At 40.9% G+C, this 25,501-nt stretch overlaps 1 long non-coding RNA gene and 1 pseudogene across 3 annotated transcripts in view, besides 1 other annotated feature; one reads left to right on the top strand and one right to left on the bottom strand.

Moving 5' to 3' along the window:
* LOC105376214 (uncharacterized) overlaps nucleotides 1-19,394 on the top strand; it is a 401,533-nt gene extending 382,139 nt beyond the window's left edge. The window contains exons 5-6 of one of the 3 annotated variants that reach the window (XR_007061722.1): nucleotides 9,345-9,438; nucleotides 12,762-19,394. This is a non-coding gene — a long non-coding RNA (uncharacterized LOC105376214). Of the gene's footprint in view, nucleotides 1-9,344 lie in introns of all 3 variants that reach the window. The other 2 variants (XR_001746882.2, XR_001746881.2) reach the window with 2 other exon arrangements.
* Nucleotides 9,757-10,258: an enhancer, noted in NCBI's record as "NANOG hESC enhancer chr9:110814662-110815163 (GRCh37/hg19 assembly coordinates)". NCBI's record gives its function as "activates a minimal SCP1, AML or CMV promoter by ChIP-STARR-seq in primed H9 embryonic stem cells {active_cell/tissue: H9 hESC(primed)}" and the evidence as "EXISTENCE:reporter gene assay evidence [ECO:0000049][PMID:30033119]".
* RPL31P43 (ribosomal protein L31 pseudogene 43) lies at nucleotides 22,077-22,454 on the bottom strand (annotated as a pseudogene).

The following is a 25,501-nucleotide window of genomic DNA, read 5'->3' as shown; positions in this document are numbered from 1 at the left end:
AAATCAGGTTATATTCATGTCTCATTTTTCAAAAATCAAACTATAAATCAATAAAAATGAAGGACTAAATAAAAAGTGAACTTTTTATTCTCCCCTAATCTCATAACTTTCCTCAAAATTAACCACTGGTGTTCACTCTTCCAAAAAGTTTATAATTCATATCTATCTTCATGTCTGTGCGTATCTTGTTTTTTCCGTATATAATATGACTGGGACAAATTTTCATGTCAATATTTATATCTCTAGTGTATCTTTTTAAATGGCTACATAGTATTCCATAGTATGCATATGCATAAATGGTTAGCCATTTCTCCCTTGATGAACATCTGTTTCTACTGTTTTGTATATATGTGCACGTTTGAAAAAGATCTACTCCTAGAATGGAATTGCTAAACCAAAGAGTTTACACATTTTACTTTTCAGCCAATCTTAATAAATTACTTTTGTAAATAAACCTTATGAATTATATTCGTACCCACAGTATATGAGAGTTACTGCTTTTTCACACCCTCACCATTATGTAATATTTTTATGTAAGCTTTTTTCATGCGTTGCAACCTGTATGGGCTAAAAGAGGAATGTGGTAGATGGCTTCCTATTTTGCTGAATTATTAATGAGGCTTGCTATCTTTTCCTGTGTTCATTGGCCATTTGTATGTCTATGAACCTATGAGCCTTCTTATCTCATTTATCCATTATTCTGATTGGGCCATTTTTTAAAGGTATTGAACTGTTTAAGCTCTTTACCTATTATTCATACCAATCCTCTGCAGTCTATGTAACAAATATTTGCCCCCAGTACATCTCTTACCTTTAAGCTTTACTTAGGTTAACTTTGTCCAATCAGAATTTTTAAAATTTAAATTGTTATAGCTATGTTTTTTCCTTTTAACTTTTTTCTATGTGTATAATTTCAGGCGTACCTACCCCATGAATACATATTTTTACAATATCACTATAATGAGCTTTTTTCATATTTGGGGTTTTAATTCATCTGAATTTATTTTTAAATAATATAAAGTTCTGTAGATAGTTAATGAATAGACAATTGCTGATTTGAATGCCCCTTTTACTATATACTAAATTCATACTAAATTATACAACTGAACCCATGCCTGGGTTCCCTCTTCTTTATCATTGAGTTATATAGATATTCTTACATCAATACCAAAACCTTTTAATTATGTAATTTAATTTCATAGATAAGTTAATGTATTTAATTTATATATATTTACTAATATATATTTAATTTTATATAACTTAATTATATAATTTTAATTTAATAGAATATATGATACATTATATAATATTCTATGTGTATCACATACTATATGTTTTATATATAAGTTACATACACGCACATGCATTCAAATTTGGAGGCACAGAGAAAGGGCTATGGGATTTCAGAGACAAAAACATCTATTTATAATTTGGGAAATCAGAAAACAATTTAATGTGGAGGTGGCATTTGAGCTGTAGCTTGAGAGAGGATTTGGCCATGAAGGAACCAATGAAAAGGCATTCCAAGAAAAAGGAATTGCTTTAGCAACATGACAGAGACAGGAAAACACAGGTTAGGACCCTGTCCACCACCAACCCATAAAGGCAAGTGTTACAGCTTGGTTGGATTATAAGAAATGTTAAGAAAGGAGAGATGTTAGAAATTAAATTTGAGAGAGTCAGACTGCGTCAGGATCATAGGTGCTCTGAGTGCCAGGCTAGGAAGAATAAACAATCTTGATTCTGAGGCAATAGGAGTCCTACAGAGTTTAGCAGTGGCATGACTTTACCTGTATTTTGGGAAGATGATGGCGGCAAGTAGATTTAAGGGAAGCAAGGATGGCAACAGGAGAACAATCAAGTCGCTGCTGCAGGGTTTTAGGCAGAAGACGAAGAAGCCTAAAGAAGTGGCAAAGAAAAGTTTCCCCATGATTTTTGTCAGCATTTTCTATTTCTTCCTAATACACTGCACTAAAAAAAAAAATGGATTGAAGGTTGCAAGGCCAAAAGCCTTGTATTTAGGCAACAAACCTAACAGAAAAGCTGACTTTCCCACCCCCGCCACCCCGCCCCCCGAGAGCCTCCAAGGCACTTAAAGTATTAAAGTTTGTGTATTCTGGCTATATCTGAGTAGCCCTGTAACAGATGGATCTTTTAGGAGAGCAGCTCTGGCCAGGGACTTCCGTCTTATGCAGAGCTTCTCAACCTCAGGATGACTGACCTTTGGGGCCAGATAGTTCTTTGTTGTGGGGACTTTTCTATGCATTGATGTTTAGTAGCATTCCTGGCCTCTATCCACTAGACGTCAGTAGCACACCCCAGTCAGGTGACAAACAAAAATGTCTCTAGATGTTGCCAAGTTTCCCCCGATAACCTCTTGTTCAGTGGGCCCTAGAGCCAAAGCCTCTCTCCTACTGGATTAGTAGTAGGGCTATACAATTAGAGGGGCTGAAGTGATGGAATGTGCTTGGATTTTGGTGTTGGGGACCAACCCATTCCCACTACTTAATAGGTATAGATCCTTGGACAAGTCACATATAAGTTAACAAGCTTTAGTCTCATCACCAAGAAGATGAAGACAATAATAACTATTTCACAGGATTGTTTAGAAGAGTAGATGAGATGACGTGTGTATGAAGGGATAAGTGCAGTGATTTGCACACTGTAGCTGCTCAATATATATGTGTTAATTCAGATGCGTTTTCCTTAGCTCTTTGGTGTGGCTTTTTTCTTGACACAAAGGGAGACTCTTCTCTTTGCCGTAAAATGCTTTAAAATGCCCACCTTTTAGTCCAACGTAAATCCCAGGCTTCAGAATCTTGTTCATGGGAGACACATGCAGAACGTTGAGCTGATTATCAATAATCCCCAGTACGAGGTCCATCTCCAGTCAACAGGGGACAGCTGGTCCTAGGTTTGGTTGCATTCAGCCTCTGAACTGGTTGTTCTGGGTATTGCCATAGCCACCTAGAATAAACACTCCCCATGGGGCTGCAGTGGCAGTTCCCATTTACATCAGTCTCTGAAGCTTTAAGAATGAGAACTTGAAGAGCTGAAAATAGTAGGTCTTCATCCTGCTCATGAAGATTCCAGATGGTAATGTCTTCTGAACTTTTTAATAACTGACTCTTCTTCCTTTTCTCTCCCTTCTGATTCTTTTTTTTTTTTTTTTTTATTTGAGGCAGAGTCTCACTCTGTCAGCCAGGTTGGAGTGTAGTGGACGATGTTGGCTCACTGAAACCCCCACCTCCCAGGTTCAAGTGATTCTCATGTGTCAGCCACCTAAGTAGCTGGGACCACAGGCATGAGCCACCACGCCCAGCTAACTTTTTGTATTTTTAGTAGAGATCGGGTTTCACCATGTTGACCAGGCTGGTCTTGAACTCCTGACCTCAGGCGATCCACCTGCCTCGGCCTCCCAGAGTGCTGGGATTATAGGTGTGAGCTACTGCGCCCAGCCTGACTCTTCTCTTTTTACCGAGAGTTGATTTTTGATTTTTTTCTCCTTAAACTTTACCTCTTCCCCTAATACTCTAACTTGTATTTTTATTTTTTATAGATTCCAATCCTGCTCTCTTTGCCCCCGTGCCTTAGCTCTTCTCCTTATCGTTATCTGCTGTACTTCTCAATGTCTTTCTCTTAACTTCTCCTTATGTATCTAGTATTTATTTACTTAAAAATTATGCTCCCTAATTCATAATTTTCAAAGCAGAAGACTTAAACATTAATTTTTAAATTTTAATCACCTTTTAATGATATTTAATTTTTTTTAATTTTCTGGATCCAACACCTAAGTAGATAAATTTCTAGCATTCTGCCACATTTTCCCAACTTCAATTCTTTCCCTTACCACTCTCTAAAGGAAATCTGTTGGAATTGTTTTAAGTTTTTCTTAGCAGCTGATTTAGACAGAGCTGGGGGATTAACGTGAAAGTATGTGAAAAATACTGTGTATTTAGATAGCACAGTTGTTTCAAGAATCTCTGGAGAGCTTGGTTACTCTTAACAAGAATAGAAATGGAATCATTAACCCTCACCTCAGCTAAATTCCTGCTAAAAGAGAAACAGTTAACACACCCCAAAACAAATACCTCTTCTTTCCACTTCCTCATTCTCTTTGCTCCCTCTGAAGCAAACATTTCGGGACCCTTTGTCCCTTTGACAATTGTCCTGCTGCTGCTGGTGGGGTGGTGTTGGAAACGGAGGATCGATCATTATTTTGGACAGAAAACCACCTTTTGCACACAGTAGGCACTCATTATGGCATTGACTGGATGCCACAATGCAGTTGCCCCATAGCTGGGGGTGGAATTTGTAACAACACCCTGTGATTTCATCCTTAGTACCTTGTATAACATGTATACACACACCAAATAAACACAACACAGAAGGACTTCAAAGACGCACCGGCTTTGCTGTTTTCATACCTTGATCAAACAAGGATAAAAAATCATCCAGGGCAATGGTTTAGTAAAGTTTGCTCTGGAAAGTGCCCACCAGTTTCTTAGGAAATTTTACTGGTCTGGGCGAAGCCCAGGACTTGGGAATTTTCATGGAGGCACCCCCAAACCTTATAGGAGAAGAAATCCAATACACAGTCAACTGAACAGGCGCATGTAGATAAATGCCTACTCAGTTTCTGCAACTCAGGCTAGATCCCTTCATTTGTGAGGACTTCCTTATTGCCCAGAGGAGATCGGCTTGCTTCCTTCTCTTTGATCTCACAGCACTTGGTGTGCATCTTATTTATTGCTTTTCATATGCTACATTGCAATGATGCCTTCTCTCATCTCTCCCAGTTACTTGAGGGCAGAGACAAAACACTTCCTTCTTTTCTGTATCTATACACAGTTTAGCATAGAGCCAGGCCCAGGCAAAGACTGATATACGAATACCCCTGGGAGAGCCAAATTCCATCCACTGTCTGTTTTTGTCAATAAAGTTTTGTAGGAACACAGCCATACTCACTGGTTGATATACTGTCTATAGCCGCTTTCAGGCTACAATGGCAAAGTTGGGTAGTTGCTACACAGCCTGTATTGCCTCAAACCGAAATGATTCACTCTCTGGCACTTTACAGAAAAGGCTGGCCAATCCCTGCACAAGCACACACAGCCAGTTTGAAAGAGTCAACCAAAATGTTGCCTCAGGAATGTTAACAAGAACTAGGGAGGCCAGAGTATCATTGAAACAAGAGTCTATTCTGTCTTCTCTCGTAAAGACTTTATCTTTTGCTTTAAAGCCTGCAACTCACCTCACTATTTTTTTTTCTGCATTTGGTTTTTGTCATTGTTTTTCTCCCATTTGGGGGTGTTTCTTTAATATATATTTTTTATTTTCAGTAATGGAATGTGATTCATCCATTAAATATTATCTTTCTGAAGCATGTTATATATCATAGTAAGTAATACTAATAACATCAAGTGCAAATTCACATACAGTCTAATCCCAGCCAAAGTTTTTAAAAGGCAGTGTTCAGGGAGAAGGAAGAAACATACAACAATAACATGAATAATTGCTTCTAGCTATCTAGGCTTGGGCGAGTTTTATTCATTTTTTTATACTTTCTTATATTTACAATAATAATGAATCTAATCTGCCAAGCATCTCTGATAAAAGCAGTTCTGATTTCAGTGCTCCTGTTATTACACAGACACTGTCTCTACTAGGGCATCTCACATTGCTAAATGTTAGACTCACTCATAAATCCTACCTATGATTCATCTCTATCACATCTGTGAAACTGCTTTGGATAAAAGTCATTGTGTAAATGGAAAACATTATCTTTTTTTTTTTTTTTTTGCAATCTTGTAACAAAATTTAAAAATCAGGTTATCCTCTAAGTCTAATTTGCGATTTTAATTCTACTTATTAGGTTGATTCATAAAGATGGATTTCACTGTTTCAGCTGCTTTCTTTAATTAGCTCCTTTCTAATGCAGACATCTAAATTCTGCCAGAGGGTAAAAGAGAAAGTAGCATATACGGTTTCGGTGTGGTGGAAAGACATAGTGGCACAATGCCTTCGAAGGTGGGCTCCACCTTTGCTGCCTCCTAGATGTGACCTTGGGTCAGTCATTTCAGCTTTCAGAGACTCCGTTTCCTCATCTGCAAAATGGGATTACTAATAACCTACTGGGTTACTGGAAGAATTAAAGAAAGCAGTTTTACATAAGTGCTGGATTAAGAGGTTTTTTTATCAAAAAAGAATGCCTTTAAAACTAGTGAAAGTGTTTGCTATAGAAGGAAATGCAATGTGCTTCCAGTGGAAGAACCCAGAAGGAAATGATACTTCCTGTCTCTCTGAGTCAGAAGCAGGAAGAATCTTCCTTCACATGATCTTCTATTATATACTGTAATTTATTTGAAAGAACACGGAAAGATGAGTCAGGGAACCCAGGTCCAGCTTTACCTCTAATTTGCTGTGCAATCTTAAGTAAATCATATTCCCTCTCTGGGCCTGTTTGCTCATTTGTAACATGAGGGCTGTAATTTCTAATATGAAAATTCCATGGATTCAAAAGATTGCAGAAGTGTGTCATATTGACTAAATAAACCAATGAAGTTTTTTTTTTTAAAGTCACTTTGAAAAGGAAAACATTCAACACAGGTATAGTGTTTTACAGCTTACCACATACTTTCATGATCCTCAGAATAGCCCTGGGAGCTCAGAAAGACAAGTATTATGATCTCACGCAACAGAGAAGGAAAACAGGGCCATGATCAGATAGCTAGCAAGTGATTGAACCTGCATATGTACCCAGGGCTGCCTGAAACCAAACTTTGCAAACTTTCTAGTCTACCAGGAAGAATACATTTCAATGTTCTGGTTGTTTACCTTGAACACCTTAAGTTTCCAGTGAATCTCTAATTAAATTACCCATATATTTTCTGTTTGATTATAGGTCTTCCTTGCTCTGCTGTAAGATTTACCAGCATGGGAAATTCATTTGCACAGGGCCATCTTTACAGTGTTCACGGTCTAGATTTTCATTGAAGGAGAGTCCCCAGTTGGGAAACACTCCTACAGAGGGAAGCCAGTAACATCAGGAGAAGGCAAGCTCGGAGTTTTCTAAGAAGCTCCGTTGCGGCCAAGCCTTTTCATTTCATGACCTCAGCCGAAAGCTGGAGGAAAACAACCCCAAACACAGCTCAAACTGGGTCTGCACACAGGAAGGCAATTGCTCTAGTAGGAGGTAAAACCGGACTGGTACTTTAGGTGCAGGGTAACTGGGACAAATCACATACATCCTTGGAGTGTACGTGTCTTTGTGGGCAAATGTGTAGGGTAAAATGCCTAACAAATTTACTGTTTTCAACTTAATAGGCTCAGGTGTCCTCTCCTCTAGGAAATCTTCCCTGGTTCCCCCACACAGGATCACAAATCATCCCCTTTGCTCCCAAGTCAAAGCGTTTGTCTTTTGTAGTATCTACTTATCACATGTAAGATTATTATTCTATGTTTACTTATCTATCTTTCCCAGTTGACTGTGAGCTTCTTGAAGATAACAATGACATGATTTTTTTCTGTATATATGTAAATATTTCTTATTTTTCTGTCTAAGCTATTCAAGTCTCCTAGAGTATTGAGACATTGTGTTTGCAATATTTTACTCTGGCAATATCTTCACAATGGCTCTAAGACTTTTCAGGCCCTCCCTTCAACCCTGTGTTTCTCTGAGCCTCCATCCTCTTGCCTCAGTACTCATTTCACCTTAGCCACGCTGGATTTCTTGTTGCTGTTTTGACACACAGCACATTCCTGACTTGCCCCTTTGAGGCATACTGTCCCTCACTCTTCCTGGATGCCCCCTAGAAACCTCTAGGCTGACCTCATCACCTCCTCCATGCCTTGCTTGGATCTCCCAATCTTGATGAAGCCCAACATCTCCACCCATTTTGTTGTGTTTCCTGCCTCCCCAGGTAGCCCTTGGCACTCCTAACACTCCTTCCCATGCTTAGCTTTCTTCTTTTCCATAGCACAGTCCATGTTAACCTATGATGTATCATTGTGGCTTTTATTTTGTGTCTGTATCTCCTTCTAGAATGTGACCTTCATGAGAAAAGGGAATCTTTGTCTTGCCTGCTGGAACAAAATACATCCCTAGAAAAGTGTCAGGCACATAGTAAATGCTCACACAGAGTTTTGCACTGATTTAAATCTACTGATTTTTTTTTTCTACTTGAGCTATTTAAGTCCCCCATGAGAATCAGGCTGAGCTCTTCCAATATTTTGGACCTAAACATTCCAGCTGATCACTCTCTCTCTCCTGGTCTTTGTGCAGACATGACCTTAATGATGTCGAGCCCCATGGCAAAGCTTTGCCCACAGGAAGCGAAGAGCCCCTTAATAAAGCAGATTTCCTTTTGCTATTCAACAGCAAGGGCTTTGGGCTGTTTAAAAAAAAAAATTGTGTTTCTCCTTATCAAATAGTTCCAAAACTGAATTTTCGAAATGGGTGAAGACCTCCTAGACACCCTGAAGATGGGATGAACTCCCCTTATTTGTCAGAGAGTGCTGGGCTGGAGCAGGGACCCCTTTCTGTGTGCTCGTCTTCCTCATTTCCATTGTCTTTCCACCTCTACGAGTCGTTAACTGTATTAATCACAACTAAAACAAAGCTAATAATTGCTTCTTGGAACGTTGTGTAACACCATGGAACGCTGCCACGGGCCTCTGAGAATCGGCCTCTAACTGCTCGGAGTGATTTCTCAGGGATTTTAACTCAGCCCGTCTTTAAGCTGAATGTTTATCATTTTCCTTTTTATTGTTTCTGGCTCCTCCCCTGCCTTTGAAGTTTCTGAAATCTTTAAGCATTTGGCTAGTCTCTATACACCGCAGGTCTTCTCCCTCAAAGAGGGCACCTGGCCAGGAGAAAGGAACTGGAGCTCCTCTCTTGGCTGGGCCTATAAAACAATCAGATTGCTCTGCAGCCTGCCATTTGAAACGTGAGCTGTGCTGAAAGTACAGATAATGCAGCGTGTTCCAAGGAGATTAGAATATCCCAGTGGGATTTCGGGTGAATGGAGAGGGAGAATAGCTCAAGTCCTCCACACACCATTTAACCCTCTCTTCTCCAGGCTGCGTTGTCTAGGAGGGTAGGTCAAGGGCACAGATCTGCTCCCCTCTTTTCCATAACCACCCTGACTTGTGAAAATAAGGGGTTTACAGCTAAGAGGTTTCCATGAAACTGTTGATTATTCTCCTCTGCTCCATTTGGTAACTTCTGTCGATAGTTAGCTTTGAGCATCCCAGATCCCATGGCTTCCCTCAGAGGAGGAATATCCTTGTCGTTCTACTCCAAAGTAGGCACAGATTTATTTTCTGCCTCTTGCTCCTTCCAGAATTTTCAGCTCTTTTGACAATTTCCAAGACAAGGGATGAGTTCCAGCCACCATGTCATGAGGAGACCCTGGATACCCCAGCTCAGAGCCTAGAGTGAGTATTTGCATTGAAGAGGAAACGTCGTATATTTGAAATGTAAGTTTCATGAATAAGATCTGGGCCCAAATTGGCTTTAGTCATTCAAAGACCCAGTCAAACTCAGGAAGTTAAAAAAGTTGAGGTGGCTGGTTTCACCTGGCTCCAGTGTCCATTCTTCTCACTTTCTCTGCATGTGTTTGTTACCCTTTCTTCATCATCGATGGAGCTCAAACTCAGTCTCACATGGGAGCAGCAGCACCAAGATAAAATTTGTGTATCCTACAGGAATAACACAGCAGGCAAGCCTGCAGGATAGAGCCAGGTGAGGCAAGTGGTGGTGGAGCTCAGAGTGTCACGTAATTAAGTGTTGTTGCAAGGACTGGAGGGGAAGATGGGGTAATAGATGTCTGCCTGGAGTGAAGACATGGCAGGGCCAAGCCTGCCTGCGATGTGTCCCAAACCTCCAATGATCCCCAACCCTGTGCAATAAAAGCCGGGTAGACCAGGCAACTGACGAAACCCCAGCTCCTGATGAAAGAGGGAATTGTTTTCTTCTGCCTTCCTGCTGAGTTGTAGGATTCGGAACCTTTGTCTTATCCAGCTTAAATCCCTGTCACTCCTTAGCAGGGACTCAGGAGGAGGAGTTATGAGGAATGTGGTAAATGATGATGCGTATTCCCTTGTGGGGAAAAGCAGCAAATGCCACAGTGTCCCTGCCATGCTCATGCTCTCCTTAGTTATGGAATTGCTGATTCCTGGGAGTTGAAAGGATCACCTAGGTTATTCCCTCTCACTCAGTTGATGTTGGAATCCCAGCTACAAGGTGCCTCACAAGAGCCCCTCCCATCCCATCCCTCTTTGGATGTTTCCACTGATGGCGAGTCTCCAATCCCTGGAGGCAGCCCAGCCTAATAATAAGCCTGCATCTATTTATTTATTTTTTTGGGTTATTAGAAATGTGTGGTAATGTGGTCTAAATGAATATTGAATTGATAGCCATCTCTTGAAAAATAGCAGAATGTCATGTCCCCATTATTTCCTAGGAATTCTCAGGGAAAATGTGTGTATTCTCCACATTCGTGAAGGTGGCCACTTGTAATAACCACCTCCAGCTGCCAAGGCTTGAAACAGTAGCTGCTATAGAGGTCGCAGGACACTTTGCATTCCCCAACCCTAAGCAACAGCAGGCTGCCGGCTCCCACACTCTCTCCCTCTCCCTTGATTCATGATGAGTTGAGTTAAAAGAGCACCATCTTCTTCATGGCACCTAGCAGGGCTGTGGATGGTCTTAACATTGACAGGCTGCAACCCATCCTAGGGATCCCTGCTTTGCTCCCCTCATGGGGATGGAAAGAATCAACTTTATCCCTTCAGAGGGAACTAAGGTCTCCTTATCCAACAAGCCCCCTTCATGCCATGGAAGGAGGCTCAGAATAATGAAGTTGCACACACGCGCGCACACACACACACACCCCATTTCAATATGAAGCATTTGGATTAATGCACTGCCTTTGGTCAGTTTCCTGAGAAGCCCTCGAGATGATAATTCAAGTGCAAGTGATTTATTAGGGGAGAGTTCCCAGGACGGCCTAGCAGAGGAGCTCAGGAAGCAGGAAAGGAAAGGGGAAGACATCAAGCAAGGTACAATCTCAGTCAGTCAGTGTGCAGCCTCAGTCTGATCCCACAGGGAGTCTATAGAGAGGAAATTACACCTTAGAGTTCATTCAGACTCGAGGCAAGGTGGCTAAGGGTTCATATTCTTTATTACAGTCCATCACTGGCATGGGCCACTCCAGCAGGTTGCAAACTCGGGTGCTTCCAGCTCTCTGAGCTCCTGGGCAAAGTGGCTCTAGTAGTCCAAGGGCACTGCCTGTTAGATACAAAGGCACCCAGAAGCCAGGGAAGGGATACACAGAAATGTAAAAGGGATCTGAGAGGATCTGGCCAGAGCATCAACATGTCCACTCATTCACTTGTGTCATCCCCAAACAATGGGTTTTATTGGCCCAGACGTGATGTACTTCTAACATAACTTACTTGGTATCTGTATAGTAAGAAACAGTCAACAATCTTTTAATAAACTCTGGGGTAGGGTGGGACTGGGAAGGTTCTGCCTCATGCCACACCCCAGTGCATAATCCAGTCTAAGTCCTCCAGTCTAAGTCCACACTGGCTGTTTGGTATACATTCACATTTCGATGGACACTGTTCAAGTAAATTCTTGAAGCCACTTTATAGTGGCTGCTGCAAAGTCTTGTTTGCTGCGCCTCTGTCGGCATATGAGCTTGGTCACATCCCCTCCACTAGAATTTTCTATCCAGCTGCCCATCAAGACTAGTCAAATCAATCACCTCCCAAAAGATGATAAAGATTTTTATAAGCAAGTCTGGAGCACGTCTCTCCGTTCTGCAGATGATGGCATCTCTTGGAAGGTAGATATTATATGCAAAATCACCCACATAAAACTCCTCTGCAAACACAAATCCAAACCCAAATAAAGCTGCTCTTACTTCCCTTTACAGTAAACAATCCAAAATCTATAGGACTATCAAATCAGGTCTTTATCTTTGTGGGTGTGCTTGCATTTAATTTTCTACTAATAACTACAAGACCCCTGGTGCTCCATCATTTTATGCCCAGGAACCTATAACATGGCAAGGAAATCTCAAGACATTGCCATTTCAATTTTATCCAAGTTTTAATGGCCCAGCATTAGGTCCTGTTTATTTTCTCTCGCTTTTTTTCCTCCCTGGAGTAAACAAAAGCATATGTTCCTTTCACCTTCTCCCTGTAACACCTAAAAAGGCAGGCAAGAGAAAACCCCAGGGAACATCACTCTTAAGTCAAACCAGCCCACACAAGTTGGACTCTCATGTCTGTTTAAAAGAGTTTATCCTGTTTCCTCTGACACCCCTTCTAATCTCTGGCACACAGTGGTAGGCATTCAGTAAGACTGGGCTCCTGGGTCCTTCCTCTTTCCCCTTCAGTAACTCAGGTTCTACCAAATTTCCTCTTCCACATTCTCTATCAGCCCTCGTCTCTTGCCTTCAGAACTTGTTTCTCTGTTTATCTATCTGGTTGTCCACTGCTCCCATGGAGACAAACGAATGAATGAGACTATATTTTCGAGCACTTACTATGTACTGGGAACCTTCTACCTATCACCTTATTTTAATCCTCACACATTCTCCTGTAAAGTATCATTATTTTCCCATGAAAGCTAAGGTACAGAGAAGGTCAGTGACTTTTCCTAGATCAAGTAGCCAGGAGAGAAGTAGGATGTGACATGGAAACCAAGTTTGGCTGAATCTAAGTGTAATAATTTCTGACCCCTGCAGTTTCCATTTTCTAGACTATGCTTTGGGTCTTCAACTTCCACGCCAACACCAGAGGATAAGTATTTGAGACCCCCACATTGGTCATCCAACTATGAAAAAATTCTCATTTTAAGCATATACAGCTTAAAAAAAGAATCAACTTCATGTATTTGGAAAACCGTAAGTGCCATCTTCCATCATTCAAAAATGTCTGTAACAGACCAGCATTATTGACAGTTCTGAGCTAGACCGAAGGAACTCTTTTCTATGACTTCAACAGAAATATTTTGTTATTACAATGTTTGCAAACATTTTTAAGGTATTGTTCAGTCAAATGATAGTCCCTATAGCTTGCAACTCAAAATATCATGGTGGTGAAATACTCATTAGTCACCTGCTATAACTTCAATGGAATGTGCTAGGACACGGAGTTTGTAAAAGCAGATATTGTCTTGTTAAGCTGTCAGGTCCCATAATGTACAGCCTCACGCAAGGACACTGTCATCAGGAAAAAGGCTTAGATTATGTGCTCCAAGTACACCAAGAAACTGGTTTCTGGAAACCCGACTTTTCAATGAACGCTTGTTAAAGCAGAGTTAATGTGTTTCCTACTGTTATAACAATGACGTGTGAGTCACATATGTGGTTTCGAGATTCCTAAACTGGATCTGCCTGGCTGCTGATGTAATCAGAAATAACCTCTGGCTGTTTGAGACTATAATATTCTGGAGGAAAACTGCCCAGCTGATGCAACTGCTGATTTTTGTTAACGCTATCACCAACATTCCCAGCATTCAAAATTCTTTAAGATATTATTATTCATTAATACTTTGTTTTAGATATTATTATTCATTAATACTTTGTTTTCATTTGGAAAATTTATTTACTATCAAAGCAAAATATTTTTGGGATTCAGCCTGTAAATTTATCTTAATTCTCACTGTCCTCACTGTCTGAAGGTCCTTTGTTATTGGGGAAAAGAATGTGGGGTTAGGTGTCAGGCAGATTTGCACTTGAATTTCAGCTCTGTCACTTACCTGTGTGATTTCAGAGAGGTTACTGAACCTCTCTGAGCCTTGAGTTTCTAATTTGGAAAAACAGGAAATTATTCCTATCTCACAATGTTCTGAAAATAAAGTTAGACATAGAGCAGCATTTGGAAAAACAAGAGAGTACAACATAGACAACCAGGTATTTGGACCTAGGCTTGCCTCTAGGGAGCCTGGCTTGATGAATCTGCTGGGTTTTGAGCCCTGTGGGCCCTCCAGCTGGGCTGTCCTCCCCAAGCCCTAAACAAGGGATTCATTCAAACTCCCTAGGTCTTCACAGAAAGCAAGAGAAAAATGATGAGAGGAGGTTGTTGAGCCAGTTGCTTGCAAGAGCAGTCTTTCCTATGGGATGCCATCAGTCAGTTGTTAAGTTTACAAAGCAGCAGGAATATGTAACTGAGAATTTTGACTTTCAAAATTTCTATGAGCAGCCTCTTGGTATCAGAACAAGAAGATGGCAGTTGTGAAAGGAAGAAGATCATGAAAATGCTGCAATTTCAGAGGGGCAGAGATCAGGGCAGAAAAAGAAATCATAAGCTTCCTGACACCTGAGGCTGATTCGTTAAGCAGGAAAGAGGAGGATGCTTACAAGGTGTTTCAACCACCAGGGACCCAAAAGGTGGGAGTGTAAATTAGTTCAACCATTGTGGAAGACAGTGTGGTGATTCCTCAAGGATCTAGAACTAGAAATACCATTTGACCCAGCAATCCCATTACTGGGTATATACCCAAAGGATCATAAATCATCCTACTATAAAGACACATACACACGTATGTTTATTGCAGCACTATTCACAATAGCAAAGACTTGGAACCAACCCAAATGCCCATCAATGATAGACTGGATAAAGAAAGTGTGGCACATATACACCATGGAATACTATGCAGCCATAAAAAATAATGAGTTCATGTCCTTTGCAGGGACATGGATGAAGCTGGAAACCATCATTCTCACTAAACTAACACAAGGACAGAAAACCAAACAAACACTGCATATTCTCACTCATAAGTGGGAGTTGAACAATGAGAACACATGGACACAGGGAGTGGAACATCACACACTGGGGCCTGTCAGGGGGTGGGGGGCTAGGGGAGGGATAGCATTAAGAGAAATACCTAATGTAGATGACAGGTTGATGGTTACAGCAAACCACCATGACACACGCATACCTATACATGCATACCTATGTAACAAAAACTGGACGTTCTGCACATGTACCCCAGAACTTAAAGTATAATAAAAAAGAAAGAAGCACAAAGGATTTGCTCTGAGGACCACACCACAGTACCTGTGTCCTTAGTCACCTTCCAGTTAGAAAGCATTTCCATATATACCATGCATTTTCAGCCTCGCCCCACACTATGAGTCAGGAATCCCATTTTGAGAGATGAAAAACTACAGGCACAGAAACCCTGGATGACCTAAAAATTCTCTGTGAAATCACGCTAGATAAATAGCCACATGTTGCTGCAGTGCGGTAAGTGTCCTTTGGTTTAGACTTCTTTCTTAATTGCATCATGAAATTGAATTATATCCCGAAGACCTGGGAAAGAGCAGAAGATGTTATGCAGTTTATAAAGTCTTTTCATGTTTTTGGTGTGTTCCATTCCAAAGGAAGCAAAAGGAAAATTTGAAATGCTGACTTTAATAGTGAAACTCCATGTTGTGGATTCACTATGTTCTTAAGTTTATTTTTTAAAAGAAGAAGAAAAATCTTTAAGGAATAGTAAGCATCTTTATCTTATCAAAATCTGATATCCAAATGAGAAATTGCTTCCTCTTTCTAAAAATAATAAGCACTTACTATATTCTGGACAGTATAAACACTTTGCAATCATTATCCCCTCAACTCAATGGAGTGGGTATTATTACTATCCTTTTATTAGAGATGTAGAATAGGAGACTGAGAGAATTTTTAAGTGACTAGCCTAAGAACAGTCAGCTTCTATGTGGTAGACCCAGGATCTGAACACATTCTGATGCCAAAGCATGTTTCTCTTATTCCTAATTGCAACCCTACACAAACTGTACTGGCAGAGCATACACATTTTTTCACGGAATTATGAAAAAAAAAAGCCTCATGAGGTAAGAAATACCACTTTAAATTTTCAGATAAGAAAACTGACTACATGATTTCTCTATTTCATGCAAGTAGACAGGTGAAGATTCAGAATAGCTCTAAGGCTGAAACTGGAACCCAGAACCCTTGAGTCTAGAACAACCTAAATCGGTTCCTTCTTTGTATCTGGCATTGTGAGTCCTCATGAGAAAAAAATTGGGGGTTAGTGCAAAATTTATTTCTCCATAAGCAAGCAACTGTTAAGTTGTACAGAGATTTACATACAACAACTGGGACCATCCCACTTACTGCCCAAATACTCATTCGCTCAATTGCCAACTAACATTTATTGAGTACCAAGTATATACAAGGCATTGTCAAGTCTTGGAGTACAGAATAAGCAAAGAAAGAGTAAAAGATGTCTGTAACCTTCATGGTACTTATTGGGTCCCCCAATGCCTTCTTCACCAGGCACACTTTCCCAATATTGATGGAAAAAGAAATCTATTGTTAAATCTCAGTGATTTTCTTTGAACTTTTTTCCTGAAATCCCCATTGCCTTTGGCATAATCTGGCTACTTCCTGGGTTCTACCAAGCTTTGGCCCAATGAGGGTGACTTCGGTGACTCTTTAACAAATACCTTAGACACCCCCTCATTTACTAGCCTGGATTAACAAACAGCTTGTCCTGAGCAACTCTGGATGTAGCCAATACCATGCAGTGACCTCAGAGCACAAACATCTGCCTCAATGTTATCCTGAGGGCAGACATCTGCTCAGGGAGTTTTTCTGGACTTTTCTTGAGATGGCTTGATCTCTACTGGGAGATCACCTTCTGGGTTCTATGGATGGACTATATATTCCAATATGTCTGCTGTCTGGAAGCTGTCAAAGATAGATTCCTTGGAGTGGTGATGAAAGTGCCTTGTTTGTTTGGCTTCCCTGAATGCAGAGGACTGGAAAGAAGCAATCTTATAGGATGATTGGCCATTAGCGGTTTCCAGTTGACTTTGCCAGACCCAGAAGAGCTATGTCTGACCTAACCTCTGCTTCAAGGAGACTACACACAAATATAAATAATCAGTTTCCAAGGCTAGTGTCCACCTCGTGGTATCCTGGTCCCCTCTGCGTTGTAATGTATACCTCAGTATCTTAGTAACTGCTGAAGAGAGACGCTTGGTTGAGACGACCAGTATAGATTGCAGTCTCAGTAAAAGGCAGGGTCCATGTGTGCACATCTTTTTACAGTTAACAAGATCCTGCTATTTCTAATACTTCACTCAGTACTCATGATAATATCAAAAGGCAAATTTTGTTATTCTCAGGTCACAGATGAAGAAACTAATGTACAAAGCTAGTGGCAGAACTGGGACTAAACACTGGGTCTAACAACTACCAAATAATTCTCCATCTTCTACTTTATCATAAGATGAAATGATTATTATAATAGGAAGGACTTCCTTGAAATTTTATATACATACATATATATATAGCATCTAGCCCTGTGCATTACATAAAGTAGTCCCTTAGTAAGGAATAGCTTTTTTTTTTTTTTTAATGTAAGGCAGCACAGTATAATTGTTCAGCCATGAGAAAGGAGGTTAACTTGAGATAACATCCAGTTACTCAGACCAGGTACTTAGTCTCTTCGGATATTCATTTTCTTATCTAAAAATGGGATAATGATTAAAAACTTTCTAAGGTTAGCATGAGAATTGTATAGCTAGAAGACAGGAATTTGCTCCCTACGACTGAGGTGCAACTTTTGTAAGATAGAGTGGGAGGGAACACTCACCTCCTTTCTAGGCTGCATACAAAGACCCAGGATACTTCCATGGCACCTGAAAAATGGAAGAGTATACTCTATTTTTAAATCCACAGCTATTCACTGAGATGTAAAATGAAAATGTTTCCATTCACAAACACAGAACTCTGCCATCACGCTAAGGCTTTTTTTTGCAAATATCCTAAGGCTTTGCCTCTCAGTGATCAATTTCATGGCACCATGGACCACCCCATCAAAGACCCTGGCACTCCTCAGGTGCTGTGTGAGTTCCTGGCACTGGTGGGACCTGCCACAGCATGCTCCCCCACCCTAGGCTCTAGGATGATAACCTTCACTTACCTTGCAATCTCAGTAGAAGGCAGTGTTCGTGTGTGCACATGTAGGGCCAGTTCTGCCTCCTTCTCCACTTCATATGCCAGCTTCCCTCAATATCTCAATACATTCTTCAAACAAAGGCCTGAGAGTGGGAGTAGATAAGGGCATTTTTGTTAGATGTCTTCTCTTTTCAGGGCTGCAACACAAAAGCCTCTAATAATGCCCTCAGGGAAAAAGAACATATATTCCATACACATTTTTTCCAACCTTCTATCAATCATATAGAAAACACTAATTAATATTCCAATAAGTTGTCCTGCCAAAGAGGAGGAGGAGGAGGAGAACTAATATATGTAAAGTGTCAAGTATAGTATCATATGGCATACCATAAACACTTAACTACTGTATTATTGTAGTTTTCTTGGTTGTATAACTACTGTATACAATTGCAGAACTACTGTATTATTGTATAACTGCTGTATTATTGTATAACTACCGTATAACTACTGTATTATTGTAGTTTGTATAACTACTGTATTATTGTAGTTTTATTTTACTGAGACTGCCCTGTGATGCTTTAGTACTTCCTTTCAATGCTTTGCCAAAATAGGGCAGGACCTTAAAATGAGAAACTGTGATATAAGCACTTTGTCACATGAACAATTATCAGGCTCTCTAAAATAAGTAAAAATTAGATCCTGAAGCCTCATCTAGGCCTTTCCTTGTTTACCTACTTTTTAAATGTAGTTTGGCTTGGTCCAAGAAAGGGAATTTGTCATATATTGATGTGGGGCAATATCATTTGTGCAAGTATCATAAATGTAATGGTAGCAGTTCCAAACCAGAAGTATCTTAAAAGAATAATGCACTATGACTAAGCAGGATTCATTCCAGAAATGCAAGGATGGTTCAATACTGAAAATGTTGATAACTGCATTACATCATTTCATTAAGTGATTAACAGAGCAAAAAACAGATAACAATAAATTTACTATACTGTCTGGATTCAACTAGAAATAGTAGAGAAGGAATAGAGCAATAGTTTTGACATGGTAAAGAATATCTGAAGTCAATTTCGAACAAACACCAGGTTCATTACCACTAAATTTGAGAACAAGATACAGATGTCCACTATCACCTATTATTATTTAACATTATTTAGGATGTTTGTTTAAGTCAGAAAAATAAAGTAAAAAGCAATATAACTATTCAAAAAGGGAGATTTAAAAATTAATCATTATTTTCTGTTTCTTAACCCTGAAAAAACAAACAAACAAAAATCTTCCTTGAGTTTAGAATGGCTAATGGTTACAAATAAATACATACAAATCAATGTATTCTCTATAAAACTGCAGTATGTAATGGAAATGTTAATAGAAAATAGAGTAAATTTATTGTATTAATCAAATGATGTAACATCTAAAAATAAATATATAAAAAATAACTTAAAATTTGTACAGACGTATATGCAAAAACTATAACTAACTATATAACTCTTAGAAGAGAAGATAGGAGTAAATTTTTATGACCTTTGGTTAAGCAAATCTTTCTTATCTGGGACAGCAAAAAAAAAACCAATGTTTTGTTTTTTGAAACACTGAAAAAAAAAATGGATAAATTGAATTCCAGACCACAGAACTGGATAAAATGTGGTGGCAAGAGATAACCCTTCTAAATGTGAGGGCAAAGTTGGGACATTAGTAGATCCAGAATTCGAGAAGATCACTCTGGCTTCCATGTTGGAAGTTGTATTGGAGCTGGGAGCTTTTAACAGGGGGAAAAGCTGGGAGTATGGGATTAGTTTATGGCTGATGACAGGTAGAGCCAAACAAGAACAGAGATGGGGTTGGTCGAGCCTCATGCTTTAGAGAAATAAAGGAGAATGCACCTGTCAATAGAGCCATGGTTTGGGCAACTAGGCCATTATGGGAACATGTCAAAAACATACATAGAGTGGTAGATGATTGATAGACTACAATGGAAATTTGATTAAAGTGTTCCAAACACCCTCTTTAAGTAAAAGGTTCACCCTGAAGTCCTTCTCTGATCTTTGCTGAAACAATTAGACAAGATTTAAAGTTTCTTTATAAACCAGAAGGGCTATTGGACAGTGTGACTCCATAGAACAATGCCCTTTGGACATACAAGGCCAAGCTCTGACACTCACAAATATCATGGGTGTGTGCGAGTTACTTAACAAACCTGAGCATTAGTTTCCATTTCACTAAAACAGAAATAGTAATCTTTCCCATGTAGGACTACAGTGTACATGGGAAGGGCCTGGCTCAGACCATGCAGCCAATAAATGCAGATTCTCCTCTCTTTCTCTCTTCAGTGATGCATCCCAGCCTTCAACCCACTAATGATTCTCCCTGTGGGTTTCTACATGTGCTCTCTACAGTTGAAATTTGCTGCTTTGTTATTTTTCTTAGGGAATATATAAAGAAACCATCATGGCCTTTTCCCAATCTATTGTTTTATAACTCCATAATCTTCATCTGTACCTCTTCTCTGATATTTCATCTTATTTAATTATATATTTAGCAAACCTAATCCTGCTTCCCAATGATACTTGCATGAGCTCAGAGGCATTGCTAAAATAAGACCCCCTGCTACCAGCAGTGCCAGTCAGTAGGTGACACTACTGACTACTTTCCTCTCCTCTCGAAGTGGCTTCAATGATGGATGACATGCTCAGTGCTCAAGACTCAGCTCCACTTTCAGAGTCTGCCTGTCCATCACTGTCTGTCCCCCGAGGATGAGCAGCAGATGACCAAGGGTGGCTTCCTACCTGATGCCAGCTAGTGTTGTGAATGGACCTCTTAGTTTGAGAAGGAACCAGGTTGGGCACAGAATGATTTTTGGCAGACAACAAGGAGGATGAGTCAAGGCAGAAAGCAGAACTGAGCCATGGTGAACTTTAGTCACCAGAATGGCATTTGCCATTCAACAAACATTTATCAAGCTGTGCTGTGGACTGCTAATTTCTCACACATCATCTCACCAACTCCTCAGTTACCCCATGAACAGGCATTAGCCCCTTGTTTTACAGATGAGAAAGCAGACACAGACATGTTAGGTAACCTTCTGTTAGGCCTCAGCTCCTAATTGCTAAATTATCCTTCAGATAAGGAGTTGTTTCTTCCAAGTCCCAGATACTCTGCATCAACATGAAATGTGTTTGCCCTGGAAGTGTGTTCATGAATCCTGTCTACGATTACCTGAGAAGGTCTCAGGTTGAAGAGGATAAGATTTCAAATCCTAGAGTTATACTTTTCTTAGGACAACGTGTCCACCTTCCCCCACCCTAAAACACACATTCCCCAGCTCTACATGTTTATTCCTAAATTCTGCAGTGATTTACTGAACACCTCCCATGTGCCTGGCATCATGCTTAGTTCCACTAATACAGAGAAAACCAAAGACTGGGACAGGGTCTTTGCCAACACAATAGCTTCGAGTCAAGCAGAGAATATATCTAACCTGTGTCTGTACAAAAAGTGAGACTGCAGCTGTCAGCTCCTACTTTCCCCAGGCCAAATCTCCAGCAACCCACAAGGCCTTCAGCTTACAAGTCCAGCCCTACCCTGCCTTACCTGAATCAATGCAGCAGTGTGGTACATAATTTAGAAGCATAGTCCAATACCGTCTCCTCTCTGAGAGCAGTCATGTGCTGGTCACTGCTACTGTGTCTGTTGTCTGGTGAGTCAGCTCTCTGCCCCTGGGCTGCTACAGAACACCTCCATCTAGGACAAGATGTACTCATTGATACCCCAGCCTCCCCCTCACTCCTGACACAAGTCTCATTTCCTGCTTTGACAAGTGCCTGGTCTGACACCTTAGGTTTCTTGGCTGGGGTCTTGAGGACCTATCTCTTTCAAATTGCCTTCTTCCAGAGGGCCCATTCTCAGCCCTATGCCCTTCTGTTAATAAATGAAGCTGTTTTCTAAACCCGACAAGACCAGAATCAACCATGCAGACTGAAGGAATGAAGACATGTGGCCCATGGCTCTCCTCTTCAGAGCAGCTTCCTGTAGGTCTTTTTTTTTTTTTTTTTTGGCAATTTTATAACTTTGATATATTTGACAATCACTGGTTAGTTCTCATCCACGTTGACTGTCTGTAGATTCTTGAGAGCGGTAGCAGGTACATAGGCAACCAAAGTATACAACTTACTTAATGAGGATCTTCATCCTCATTACGTTTTCTGGACAACTGCACATAGATACTGTATGGGACATTCTTTATTCCTTTGGCCCAGACAGGTCTGTTGAACCTAGTATCAATGCACACATCTGGAATTCCCATCTCCTTCATGGCAAATTTCCAGATCTCTTTGAATGTCCAAGGGGGATGTTTCTTGAAGCCCACTTCATGGATGTGCTTGTGAATGATGTTGGTGTATTCTCCGGTCACTGCTTCATTGATGGCAGAATGGCCCTTTTTCTTCTCACCACCCTTCTTTGCGGGAGCCACTCTGCCAGGCCCAAGTTGGAAAGTGAGATCTTTGTAAATATTTAATGTAATATTGTGTACTTCTATAGGGCAGATTCTCAAGCCTGGGCACATACTTGGTTGATGCTCATTACTCTATGTCTAGATACTAGCTAGAGAGCGAACATTGCTCCAACCAGTTGTCACTAGGAAGACCGTGGGAAGATCACTCTACTGCTCTGTGGACCAGTTTCACCCTGAATGAAAGAGGAGAAAATTGGGGCTGAAAGGCAGTAATAACTGAAAAATGGCATTAGATACTCTAAAGATTGTACACAGGCAATGCTTGAGTCTATATACAATTTTTGGTTTTCTGTAAAGGAACAGAGTAATCCAGGAACTCCTCAGGAAAGCATTAACTGGAGGAACTTTTGGGAGCCACAGCCATACATTGTGTAATCTGCATAATTCTTACGCAATCACTCTGGGAGGTGGTCCCTATTATGGCTCCATTTAGAGCTGAGAAAACTGAGACTCAGAAAATTTGAGTGAAGTTAGGAAGATAAGATCAATTTGAGCTTTTTGGAATTTCCAGGTGACTCACTGCATGGAATACACACTGCCCCATGGTTTGAATCTGCCACTATTGATACTAACTATGAACTGCATGCTTTGTCTATGCCAAGCTCCATTCAGAAACTACAACATGGTTCCTTCCATAAAGATACATGAGGTTACTTTGCAAGGTTCTCCTTGGCCCTGCTACCCGAAGAGCAGCACCTACAGCAGCCAATACAGGTTATGTGAGCACACATGCTAACTCTTCAAGGTCCATCTTATAAACCCATGGGAATAATGCTCTGTATCTGTCTGGAACCTTATAGTTATACATCTTGCATCTGTACCACACTAACTCTGCAAGTTCATGAAGGGCAGGTATCACTACCCTCATTCATTGAGTCACTGATTTATGTATACATCGATTGTGGCATTAATTCAACAAATATTTACTGAGTACTTACCTGTGCCAGGCTCTGTGCTGATTCATAGAGGAAAATGATGTAAATAAGGCTTATCTGACTCTCAAGCAGCACAGTCTTGGGGTGGGTACAGTTTCCCAAATAGACAATAACTTTGAGGGTTTAAGTGCTTTAACTGTAGAGCTATAACTGAGAGGACAAGGAACTCTGCCCAGTGCTTTCAGAATGGTTTCAAAGAGAAGGCAGAATTAGAGAGGCTGGAGTGCATGTGGAATACCTTGATGCCAGGTTAAGGTTCTGAACTTTATCCTGACGGACATGAGATGTACGCTCAGAGCAATTAGAGACATTGTCTGGGCTGCAAGAAGTGTATTTACCATTCTTGTTTTTCTATAAAGGCACAGAGTAATCCAGGAACTCCTCAGGAAAGTACTGGCTGGAGGAACTTTGGGAGCAACAGCATGGTTTGATAGAAAGAGATCAGAGGAGAAAGAGAGGAAAATAGCGCCAAATGGGTAGCTGCTATGTGTTAGAAGCTTATATATGTTATCTTGGGGGCACCAAGGACATGATTTCAACCCCACATTAGAAATAGAGAAAGATCCAGGAAGCCTGGTTTCAGATCCAGGTCTCACCTCTTCTTCCTGGTCATGAGACCTTGGGAAGATCACACTACTGCTCTGTGGACCAGTTTCACCCTGGATGGAAGAGGAGAAAACTGGAGCTGAAGGGAGGCAGTAACTGGAAAATGGTATTGCATACTTTAAAGGCTGTACACAGACAATGCTTTGTGTTTGCTTGTTTGAATAGGGAATAACCAAAACCTCATGGTATCCCTAGGCCCATTCTAAGAAAGCAGGCAGGGAACAGAAAGGAGCTACAGGAGGCATGGAAGGGAAGGGGAGAAGAATAAGAATCAGGCCTGGGTTACAATCAGCATTCACATCCCAGCTCACGGCATGAACACAGGTGCATCACTTCATTGTGCCCAGCATTTCTTTCCACACAAAGAGAGGGTCTTTCCAGTATCAGGACTCTGTGCGTACAAGTCAGTAGAGAAGGAGGTAGTTGCTCTGTAGATACAAGAGCAATGGAGGCAAAAAAAAAAAAAAAAAAAAAGGCAAGTCCTAAGCATACACTACCCACCCTGTCCCAACCCCACTTGCATGATTCTGGAATTTCTTTCTGTTTCATGCAGACAGGAAGCCACTTAGTAGAGGCTTACAGGAAAGCTGAGGGCTCATTTTCTCTCCACCTGGAAAAGGAAAAAAAAAAATCTGTTCCATTAAAATAAATGGATAAATAAATCTCCTCCAACTTCTGAGTCTCTTGTTTGGGTGAGCAGCACTGCACTTTGTCTAGTGCCCCAGCTGAACACCTAACAACCACTCCAGTCACTCTCATCTCCCACATCCAAGTGATCCCCAAGCCCCACGGATTCTAGCTCCCTAACCATTCTCCATTCTAGCTCCCTAACCATTCTCCCCTTCCTTCTCACTCCAAGTTATTTGCTTCCCTCCCTCACAACTTGTTCCCTGGTCTGTGGCACCAATTGTTGCCTAAATGGACTTCCTGTCCCTATTCATTTCTCCCCAGTCTCAAACTGTCATGAGATCTTGCATTCACACCTGTGCCCTGCCTCACATCTTTTCAATCCACCTTCTACCCTAGCCATTGCCAGTGGGGTCTAGGCAATGCCCCCAGCTGCACCTCCATCTTGCTGACTTACTGCCCCGGGGCTTCTGGAACATCAAGAAGTAGGGCAACCATGGTACCCTGCTCAACATCTACGCTCAGGAAAACTTGAAAATGCAAGGGAGTTAACAACCTATGGGGCAATCCTTAACCAACGGGGGCAGAAAGCAGGTGGATTTTGTGACCCCATTTCTCACCATCAGGCAGACAATTTTGAAGGACTTTCTATATGGTCCTCAGAAGGTCCCTGCAGAATCCAGCCTCCATTGTCCATGGTGATGATTAGCTGGACATGGCACCACTGGTATTGGCTTTCTTCCTTTCCTCATGTCCTACCCCCTTGTTACTGTTCCCTGAGGTTGTATCCAAAAAGCAACTACCTGCGCACAAATGCTTATCTCAGGCCGTGCTTTCTGGGGAAACCCCCAGCTATGGTAGTTCC

Source organism: Homo sapiens, chromosome 9, assembly GCF_000001405.40.
Source record: "Homo sapiens chromosome 9, GRCh38.p14 Primary Assembly".
In the NCBI taxonomy this organism is placed as follows: domain Eukaryota; kingdom Metazoa; phylum Chordata; class Mammalia; order Primates; family Hominidae; genus Homo; species Homo sapiens.
The sequence above is the reverse complement of the archived record's forward strand: the minus strand, read 5'-3'. Positions and strand labels throughout refer to the sequence as shown.